This window comes from Homo sapiens, chromosome 6 (genome assembly GCF_000001405.40).
Source record: "Homo sapiens chromosome 6, GRCh38.p14 Primary Assembly".
Lineage (NCBI taxonomy): Eukaryota > Metazoa > Chordata > Mammalia > Primates > Hominidae > Homo > Homo sapiens.
Window position 1 is genome coordinate 135,841,618 of NC_000006.12, and position 11,296 is coordinate 135,852,913.

General features: G+C 40.4%; 1 protein-coding gene across 1 annotated transcript in view, besides 1 other annotated feature; it reads left to right on the forward strand.

The window, feature by feature from the left end:
• Positions 9,871-10,108: a silencer, noted in NCBI's record as "fragment chr6:136172626-136172863 (GRCh37/hg19 assembly coordinates)". NCBI's record gives its function as "represses an EF-1alpha promoter that drives an FKBP-Casp9 reporter gene in an ReSE screen in K562 erythroleukemia cells {active_cell/tissue: K562}" and the evidence as "EXISTENCE:reporter gene assay evidence [ECO:0000049][PMID:32094911]".
• Positions 10,084-11,296, forward strand: part of PDE7B (phosphodiesterase 7B) — a 343,874-nt gene continuing 342,661 nt past the window's right edge. Inside the window, exon 1 of the mRNA NM_018945.4 lies at positions 10,084-10,402. Within this exon, the coding sequence (NP_061818.1) occupies positions 10,382-10,402 (21 nt within the window). The 5' untranslated portion in view covers positions 10,084-10,381. The remainder of the gene's footprint in view (positions 10,403-11,296) is intronic.

An 11,296-nucleotide genomic window follows, 5' to 3' on the forward strand; every position in this document is an offset into this window, starting at 1 on the left:
GCCTCAAAAAGCTTACTACCTAATAGTGGCCTGTTACTGAATTCTTGAGAAGTATTTGGATGGCTATGTATGTGCTTTCTGAAAATACAGGTAAAGTATTTCCCTACTCACTAGAAGACTCCTAAAAAACAATGTGTGAGTTAAACTTCTGTTAAGTGGAATTCAGGTTTTTTTTTTTTGTTTTTTGAGACGGAGTCTTGCTGTCGCCCAGGTTGGAGTACAGTGGTGCGATCTTGGCTCACTGCGGGCTTTGCCCACCGGGGTTCTCGCCATTCTCCTGCCTCAGCCTCCCAAGTAGCTGGGACTACAGGCACCCGCCACCTCGCCCGGCTAATTTTTTGTGTTTTTAGTAGAGACAGGGTTTCACCGTGTTAGCCAGGATGGTCTCGATCTCCTGACCTCGTGATCTGCCTGCCTCGGCCTGGAATTCAGGTTTTAAATGCTGTATACAGCTTGCTATTTTAGAGCCTCCTGCAAAGTTAATAAGCAAACTCTGATTTTTAATATGAATTTTAACTTTAGCACTGATACATTTTCTTAATGTTGATCAATATTATAAGCACTCAAAACTCTCAAACATTTTAAAATGCATAAAACGAAAACCTTTGTAAATGGAATCTCTATTTAAATGCACTAAGAGTAAATGCTATTTAAAGGAATCCTGATATAATATTGTAAGGAAAGTGGTTAATCATTAACTTATTTTTTAAATGTGGACTTTTATTGTAATTTCTATACTGTAGAAAGCAAAACTTCTAGCAATACAAAAAATGTAACCAATAAGAAAATACAAAATATACTTCGTTATAATAAAAAGAACACACGAGTAGTAGGCTACATGAGACCCTTTACCTGTTGTGTTCTGAAGAAGAAACCTTTCCCCAGAGCGTCTGCCTCAGAGTCTATGTTGTGGCATGTATTAGTTTGTTGGTGCAGCCATAACAAAATACCCCAGATGAGTGGCTTAAATAACAGAAATTTATTTCCTCACAGTTCTGGAGGCTAGGAATCCAAGATTAAGATGTCAACAGGATTGATTTCTTCTGAGGCCTCTCTCCTGGGCTTATAGACGGCTGTCTTTTTTTTCTGTCTTCACGTGGCCTTTCTTCTGTGACTGACTGTGTCCTAATCTCTTATAAGTGCACCAGTCATATCGGGTTACAGCCCACCTGCATAACCTCATTTTACCTTATTTAATTACATCTTTAAAGACCCTATCTCCAAATAAAGTAAGATTCTGAGACACTGGGGGTTAAGACTTCAACATATGCATTTTTTGGTTGAGGGAGGGACATGATACAGCCTATAACATGGCACATCTCTAGATTAGAAAATTCCAGTTTGCGAGTAAATAGCCAGAGGAGTCACAATGCAAACTTTTTTTCTCCTATAAAAACTTCAGCATGGATTAGGTTATCAGATAACTGCTATGTTCAGAATAGGCATTTCTAAAGATTTGTTGATGATATGATGACAGCTCTCACCTTGAAGAGCAGAGGGTAAAGGAATAGAAAATGAACCCAGAAAATGGGTGGAAGATGGGGTTGGAAAAATGCCAGAAGGCACTGCTTCAAGAAGGCATGCTCACAGTGGCTGAGTGGAGGGCAGGGGAGGGCTGCAGATAGCTCCTGAAGCCTGCAGGCTAGCGGGGAGCTCAGTTACACAAGATGAAGGGGGTAACCAAAGCCAGGTTGTGATTTACGAATTTGCCCTGATGGAGAATATTTGATGATAAGCATTAAATAGCAAAGTTTAGAAGAAGTTTTTTTCTTCTTGTTTTCCAATTGTTCTTTCTATTGGACAGTTTGCCATGATTCTGAGCTAAATTAGCCCTTTGGAGACATGGTCGTAAGATAGTCTGTTGATCTGGAAAACAGTTTTCATGAAAAATGAGTAGGTGGTAGAAGGAAAAGAGAAATAATTTGAAATGCAAAGCACTGTAAATGCATACGAGAAAAATGCAGTAGTAGGGCTGAATAGCTTTTGCTCATCAAATTTTAAGCCATTCATTCTTAATGTATTTGGTTGTTAATGACATAAGTTACGAATCACAGTAGCCAATAAATATTTGTGAACATTATTTACATTATCATTATGGAATGACTTTTTGGTATGGTAAATGAGTAACAATTCTTTTTTTTTTTTTTTTTTTGAGACAGGGTCTTACTCTGTCACTCAGGCTGAAGTGCAGTGGTTCAATCACAGTTCACTGCAGCCTCAACTTTCCTGACTCAGCTTCACAAGTACCTGGGACCACAGGCACATGCCACCATGCTCAGCTAATTTATTTTTATTTTTTGTGGAGACAGATTCTTGCTATGTCACCCAGACTGGTCCCAAACTCCTGGGCTCAAGTGATCCTCCCGCCTCAGCAATCCCAGAGTGCTGAGATTACAGGTGTGAGCCACCATACCTAGCCCAGTTCTGTTTTCAAAGGGATTAAAATGTGCTCTGACTGTATCACTATCTTATTGCCAACAGGGAGGAGAATTCAGATGGACAATAGGGTTATAATGAAGTGGAAAGAAGTTGGTATAAGATACAGCATCAGTTGGCAGAAATGACAAGTTGCTAGATAGACTTGGATGGGTGGCACATGCCAGAGGGTCAGGTCTAGGACTAGGTTTGAGAAGAGCATTGTACTGGGAGGAGGGGCTGAGAGCATGAATGATGAACTGCCCCAGCCCCCACTGAGGATGTTAGAGATTAAGTCTGTATAATCTTTTGAAAGCCTTAAAAATCCTGAATTTTGAAACTCTGTACTACCCTTCAGAAATCTCACAAAGTCTGAACTCTAAAACCCTGGTCCCAAAGGTTTTAGATAAGAGGTTATAGACTTGGACCAGTTTCCATTCCCACCTGCAGTGTACAGTAGTTCCCTTGGCCCCATATTCTCATCCACATTTTTTATAGCCAGACTCTCTAAGTTTTATAAAGCTAATGGAGATACATTAATGTACAATTGTGTATCTCATTATTTTTATACAGGTTCAGATTTCTTTCCATTGATCCTTTGTCTTTTTACTCTATAATATATTTGATCTTACAGGAGACTATGATTTTGATGTTAGCTACTTTGCACATTTTCTTTGTGGCCTTTGCTTTTGTGTCTTTTATAGGAAGGTCTTTTGCTTTTGATCATTGGTATATCCAATCAAATATTTTCTGACAATTTGACAGTTTTGGTTTTTCATGTTTAAGTCTTTAATTGCAATTTATATTTGTATAATGGATTTTGGAATGAATCTAAGTTTAACTTGGTTGGATGTTATATTTTGCAGATGGCTAGCCTTGTTCTAACATCATTTACTAACTAGTCCATTTCTTCTCCACTCATTAAAATATCAACTTTATCTTTTAAAGTTTTATATACATGATGATTCACTTTTAGACTTTTTTCTGTTCCATTTTTTACAATTTATAGATGCCTACACCAATATTGCAATACTTTACAATGTACAGCTATTTAATTGCTGTAAAAGACGTCTTCTTCTATTTTTCTCTAAGCAGATTTAAGATTGCTGACTATATTTTACATCGTTTTCCTTGTATACTGTGATACCACATCCTTCTTTTTATCCTCATATGTTGCCACTTCTCGATTTTTTAATAGGCTTCTCCTCCTTTCAATACTGGTATTCCCTTCAATTTTCCCCCAGACCCTCTTCTCTCCTCACTCTAAGCACACTTCATGAGCTAATGTAGCTTAATTTCACCAATATGATGCTACTCAAAACTGTTCTTCTAGCCCAAGTTTCTTTTGTTTTGTTTTGCTAAGTTTCATAGCCACATATCCATCTTCACTTTGATGTTAGGTTCAAAAGTGAACTTATCATCTGCCATGCCTGATATAGTTTAGATATTTGTTCCCTCCACATCGCATGTTGAAATTTAATCCCCAATGTTAGAGGTGGGGCCTAGTGGGAGGTGTTTGGATCATGGCAGCAGATCTCATGAATAGTTTTGTGACGTCTTTGCAGTAATAAGTTCTTACACTACTCGTTCTTGCAAGAACTGATTGTTAAAAAGAGACTGTCAGCCATGATGGCGGCACATGCCTGCAGTCTCATCTACTTGGAAAGCCAAGGCAAAAGGATTGTTTGAGCCCAGGATGCAATGAGCTATGATCACACCACTGCACTCCAGCCTGGGCAGCAGAGTGAGGCCCTGTCTAAAAAAAAGGAAATAAAAGAAAATGGTTTTGGCCAGGAACAGTGGCTCACACCTGTAATTCCAGCACTTCAGGAGACCAAGGCAGCAGGATTGCTTGAGGCCAGGAGTTCAAGACCAGCCTGGGCAACATAGCAAGACCCTCTCTCTCTAAAAAAAAATATTTTTTTAATAAGAGAATATAGACAGTTGAATTGCAAAGGAAAGAAAATGACTAAAAATGGTCATTTCTATGAGTGACAGATCATGGGCTATTTAAGAAGAAGATTTAGGATGAAAGTGAAAATAAAAAAGTTACTCCTTTTAGATTATAACTAATAAATTACAGAAAGTGGGGTCATTTCAAATGCTGTGCTTCAAAGAATACTTTGAAGTATTTATTAAATAATAGTACCTCTGCAGATGAGTGAGTGTTTTAAACCTAGTAGTCTTAGATTAATATTACTGTGTTTGGTGGAGATAATTAGATAGATACTGGGAAAGACATAGACATAGACATGGACATGGACATGCATATCGATACAGGTGTAGGTATATCCTTAAAGTTTTCTCAAGCTGCAAATGGTGAAGTATTTGTATCATGGGAGAACACAGTCAGCAGTTGCCTCTAGGAAACAGGGACACTGGACACTGAATTTGTTAAGACACTTCCTATGATGAGCAACAGAAAGCCAACTTAACCTCAGACAAAAAAGAAAATCCATTGACTATCATAACTGACTGTCTTAGTCTGCTTGGGCTGTCATAACAAAATACCACAGACTGAGTGTCTTAAACAACAGAGATTTATTTTCTCACAGTTCTGGAGAATGGAAGTCCAAGAATAAGATGGCAGCAGGGAGGTATCTGGTGAGGGCTCTTCTCCTGGTTTGCAGACAGCCACCTTCTGTCTGTGTCCTCACATGGTGGAAGGAGAGAGACCTCTTGTGTCTCTTCCTCCTCTTATGAGGGCATCAGCCCCATCAGATTAGGAACTCACCCTTTTGACCTCGTTTAAGTCAGTTGTCTCCTTATAAACCTATCTCCAAATACATTGGAGGTAAGGACTTCAACATATGACTTAGGGAGGAGGCATAATTTAATCCATAGCACCAACTGTTTGAACTTGATTTCTGAGAGACCATTATCTTGGCTGTGCATCTGCCTTCAGGGCACTCCTTCTTGATCTTCTTTGCTGGATCCTTCTCAATTTCCCATTACCTAAACAGAGTTTAGCCTTGGGTCTATTCTCATTTCCTAAGTGATCTCATGCCCTCCCACAGCTTTCAATACTATTTCATCGTCCTTGGTGCTCCAGAATGCTATATAAGCTGCCTACATAAGATTCATATTTGGATGTATCATAAATATTGCAAAGGTAACATGCTATCTAGCATCACGTTAGTTAATGACAACCAAACTCAAATAGGCCCTAGTACTCTTGGCCATCATATTATATTTCTCTGGTAATTTAGGCTCTTTACTCTGGTGGATGACATTTTATACCTCCTTTCCTCAAACCTCCATCACCTCCCCGTCCCCTCTCTTAGACAATTGTCATTTCACTGAGAAATTAGAAGTCACAGAGAATGTTCACATACAGTGACGGTTGCACTGCCATTGCAACCTGCCTACCAACACCTGTACCATTTACTCTGTTTTGCCTTCTATGTCTATGGATGAAACATCCACACTCTTTTCCAAAGCCAATAACTCTGCTAGTTATATATCACTGCTGAAACAAACTAACACAAAATATATTAGTCCCTGTTTCTCTAGGTGGGTTTGGCTAGGTACTTTGCTTAAAATCTCACAAGGCAAGAAAACAAGGTGTCAGCAGGGCTGTATTATTTTCTGGAGGTTCCAGGGAAGACTCTGTTTCCAAGTTCATTCAAGTTGTTGGCAAATCCAGTTCCTTGCAGTTGTAGGACTTAGGTGGCTATTTTCTTGCTAGCTGTTAGTTGGGGGTTCACTCTTTGCTAGTAGAGATCTCTTTTGCATCCTTGCACACGGGCTCACAACTCAGAGACAGCAGCATCGTGTGAATTCTTCTCAAACTTGGAACTTCTATGATGTCTGCTGCATCTCTCTTCTGCTTCCAGCCAGAAAAATCTCTCTGCTTTTAAGGGTTCATGTGATTAGATTGGGCACACTCAGAAAACCCAGGATAAAATCTCCCTACTTTAAGATTCATAACCTCAATTAAATCTGCAAAGTCCCTTTTGCCATGCAATTAACATGTCCCCACGTTCCAGGAATTAGAGTGTGGACTTACCTGGAGGGCATGTAGCCTACCACAAATTTGATTTGTGCCCCAGAAATTTGCTCCCTCTCTTCCGCATCACCAATTATTCCCCTTAACTGCATTTTTTCCATCAGTGTACAACATGCTGATATTCCTTTTCAATGACTGCTCCATTTCTCTGCTCTCTTTGGGGCAAAACACCTTGAAATAATTGCCTATACTCTTTGTTCCCAATTCTTCTTTCGTTTTTCTTAACCTTTCAACTTTCTACTACACTCAACCTTCTTTTGTTAAAGACACAAATGATTACACATTCTAAGTTTAAGGGTCAATTTTCAATCTTCATTTAAGTGTCATTTTACACAGCTGATCATTGAAATAGTTAATTTACCTTCTAAGGCACCATTCTCTCTTGGTTTTTCTTATACTTTCTGGAGGCTCCTTGTCAGCCTTCCTTGCTAGTCCTTCTTTATATTCTTGACAGCATAATCGTGGACTGCCTGCAGCTCTTCCATCTGCATTCATTCCCTTGGTAATTGTATCTAGTTTCATGGCTTTAAGTTCTACAGGTATACAATGACTTCCAAATTTATATCTACAGCCCAGAACTGTACCCTAAACTGCATGCTTATATATTCCACTGCCTAGTCAACATCTCCATGTAGATATCTTACAGGCAAGGTTAACAAATTCAATATCAAACTTCATCTTCCCCACAAAACCTGCTTCTCCCGCCATCCCTTGGTCAGTGCTAGCTCTGTTCTTCTACTTGATGGAACCCCAAATTTTGGAGATGTCATTGGCTCCTCTCACTAATCTCCCTCCTTTGTACTTAGCACCCAATCCATTTAACAAGTCTTATTGTCCTTAACACCAACATATAATTGGAAGTAAACCACTTCTAGCCACCTCCACCAAAGCATCGTGGTAGACACCACTAGGATGTCTGGCTTGTTTATTGCAATATATCGTTTATTAGACTCTCTTCTACCTTGACCTCCACATGGTAGCCAGAGCGATCCTGTCAAAAAGTAAGTCAGATTGCCTCATTCCTCTCCTTAAAGCCCTGTTTCATGCAGACAGGAAGCCAAAGTCCTTACAATGACCTAGAAAACTCTCCTTGATCTGTCACCTCTGCACCCATTGCCATATCCTACTACTTACCAGCCAAATACTCCAGTCCCCAGAGCCTTGCACTTAATGTCCTCTTGTTTAAAATGCTCTCCCTATGCCTCCCTCATCAACTTCCCCTTTGTGTCCAACATCATCTTTGCAGTGGCACCTTCTCTGCATACTCACTTTAAAATTGCAAGCCTCTATCTGACTAGTGACCCTTCCCTCTCCTGTTTCTTCTTCACAACAGTATTACCACCCGATATCCTATATAAATTTTTTATTTGTTGTTATGGCCATTCTCCTTTCAGAAGAATCTAAGTTTCGTGGGGTCAAAGAATTACGTGTTGGAGGGTGTGTATGTGTGTTATATGTTTTCACTGCATTCTCCCCAGCACCTAGAACAGTGCCTGGTACAGAGTACACAATCAAATATCTGTTGCTGTTCAGTGAAGGTCCAGAACTGTTATTTATTTCACCTCAAAACCAGGCTCTTCTCCCAGTCTTCCCCATGTCAGTAAATGGCAACTCTAGTCCAGTTTGCCCAAGCCAGGAACCTGGAAATTACTCTTGATTCCTCTCTTTTTCTCACACCTCTCATCTTCAAATACTGCCAACGCTCTCTGCAAATACACAGGCCCCCTTCCAAAATCTGGCCCTCCCACCTTCTCCACTGCTCTCACCCAAGTCCGAGCCATGATGTGCTCTCACTTAGGTTAGCACAGTGGCCTCATTTATTGGTCTCTCTGCTTCTACTCTTGCTCCCTAGGAGTCTATCTTCCACAGAGAAAAGAGAGAAATCTCTTCAGAATTCGTGTCGAATCATAGACATTCCTCAGTTCAAAACACTCTGATAGGTAGGTTTTCACCTTGGAATAAAATCTAAGTCGTGTGCATGGCCTGTAAGACATGTCCTGATCTTGTCCCAGACATACCTTCTGAAACTTATTTCTTCCCTTTGCTCATTCTCTTCCAGCCACTCTATTTCCCTTCCTGTTCCTTGGCTCTGCCAAGCACTCATGTGTTGTGGGACCTTTCCATGGCTTCATCTGCATGGAAGGTAGAGGCACACAGTACCTGCTATGTCCCATCATTCGGGCCTCCGCTCCAAGTTGCTTTATCAGAGGGCTGCCCTGATCATCTTTCCTAAAATAGCACACACACCACACACACACACATGCACGTGTACACACACACCTCATTCTCCTTACCTTATTTTGAAGCCCTCATTGCCAACTGACATTATACGTTTACTTATTTTTCTTTGACAATTTCCCTGCTTCTCCAAAATGTAGACTCCATGGGGGCAAAGAACCATCTGTTTTGTTCACTATTGTAGCTTCAACACCAAAGATAAACCCCAACAACTACAGGGATGCTTAATCCTAGCGCCTAGGCTCTTAGGGATACATAAATACTTTCTTTCTCAAAGAAACAATATTAGTATTTGAAAAAGGAATGTGGACATTCTTTAGTGTTGCGCCCACCCCTAAAACATAGTCTGCCTCGGAGCAATGGAGAAATCTGATTGGCCCCTGTGGGTCCCATGCCCCCTTGTGGCTCTGTCGTGGGAATGGGGCTGGGGGCAAAGTCCATGCAATCCATAGAAGATAGAGGAAGGAAAGTTCCGCCCACCGCCCACCCAAAAAAGGTCTGTTAGCAGAATTTAGGATGGGGATGGGGAAAAGGAGGAGGATGTGGGGGAGGCAGAAACAACAGATGGCAACTATGGGGATTTTTCCAGAGTGGGAAGTGTAACCCAGGGATAAGCTGGGGTCCCTGGTAAAGGAAGTATCCCTAAATAACTGGACCTTCATACTCTTTGGGAAAGAACAAGCTGAGGCCCCAGGCACACCTGCATGGCATCACCATAGCCTTGCTTCTTGAATGACTCCTGCTGGCATCAGGAGGCATCTCCCTGGCAGGAACAAGCCTGAGGCTTCACCACGGAAGCTGGAGGAAACGCAGGGACCCATGGCACAAACTGACACAGGAGTTCTATGTTTCATTGCACATCATTTTGTTCACCAGTGCATTTGTACGATTCTGCCTCTATGGCTATCAAGTTTAATTAACAACTCATTTTTAGGTAAGAGTAAAAATGAATTAGGTAAAAAAAAATAAGCAACAGCTGCCAAGTGAGCATGGAGCACATACACTCACAGATGGAAAAAATCTACATCTTGCTGCTATGATTTAGCTCAGGGTTTTATATTTAATTTTTGTTTTGTTTTGCTTTTGTTTTTATACACCTCACCACAAGGTATTTTAAATTCTTTAAATGTATTCCCGAATATAGAAAATGTTTCTTGGGCTCTCCTGAGAGTGGGGTGCCCAGGCTGACCACAGGCACACACACATTCTTCCCATAGTACAGTACTTTAAAATTAATAGCACATGCAGAGGAAAAACTAAACCCTTTGACGTCACTCTTGAAATGAGGAAACATAAACAGAAAAGGCTCCACTCCAGTAAGCTGCCAGAGTTGAAGCCGATTGGTCTCTGCTTTTCCTTGCCTGTGGCAACTGACAGCACCTCCCAGCCTAGCAGGCCGGCGGCTGCTCACCCAGCCAGTCAGTTGGTCTGGGCACTGCAGCAGGCTCGGCTCTGTCCCAGCACTTGTCTGGGAGAAAAGTGGTGTTACTCACCCAGGGAGAGTCTCTCTTTCTACCTTCCTTCTTTCTCGATCTCCTTGTGTGCTTTTGTGTTTCTTTATTTCTTTTCCTTTTTTTTCTTTTTTTTTTTTTGTTACTTAATTATATTCCTAATCCTGGATGAAGTTGCTGGATTCTGCAGCACAAGTCTTCATGAACAAGCAGCACCGCTCAGAGATTTCACGGCATTCAAAGGTCACAGAACTGCCACTATGGTTAAATGTCTTGTTTAATGGTTGAGGTATGTACAACAAATTTAAGCGGCAAGCTCAGTTTTCTTGAGAGAATAGAGTCACAGAGAGATGGCAGGATTTTTATTTAAAATGAACCTGTACATATATATGTTTTTTGTCTGTGATTGTTACTACAGCAACCAGCTTTTGAATTTCCTTCCTTTTTCTAGGCGAACTGACTAAACATTATCACTTACCCTGAATTAACCGTTTAAGGGCAGCAGGGTTTCATTCCAACCAGTGTAATGAGACTCCGGCATTTTCACTGCACTTTGAGCCCACACTGAGGTGGTCTTTAAAAAAAAAAATAAAGAATGCAATATTTTTTTTCTCCAACATAAATCTTGGAGTTGGGTAATTTTCATTTTTGGTGGGACAGGATAGGAAAATGCTGGTAAAGGGATTGGTAAGGTTTGTGGAACAGGGAAGAAGGAAATTAGTTTTTTTCTTGAGTTTTTCATGTTGGTTGATAGCAGACTTCAAGATGAAGAAATTAGTGGCAAGAAGGGAAGAAGCTGATAGTGAGACTGAAGGTAGAAAAAAATCAATAGAAGATGTCCAAAAAATGAGCTCTGAAGAAAAATCCTTCATCACCTTGTTGCATTTTTCAAAAAATGTTTTGGATTCAGAAGTCCAGGAGAGATGCAAGTACTAAGTTACATGACCAGAAATTTAGATATTATTATTTATAAAGGAAAGTAAAACTTCTTTATTACCACTGCAAATTTGCTAATTATCTTTTCCTACAATAGTTGAAAATGGAGTCAGATATTCAATTAGGGGCTTAAGTGATTGAGCCTGGGGACTAATTAATCATTTAAAAATTCTGTTCTTCATGTGCTCTAGCCAGAGTGACTATTGCAATAAGAGTAAACCTCTTTGCACCAGAGACAGGCATAGGC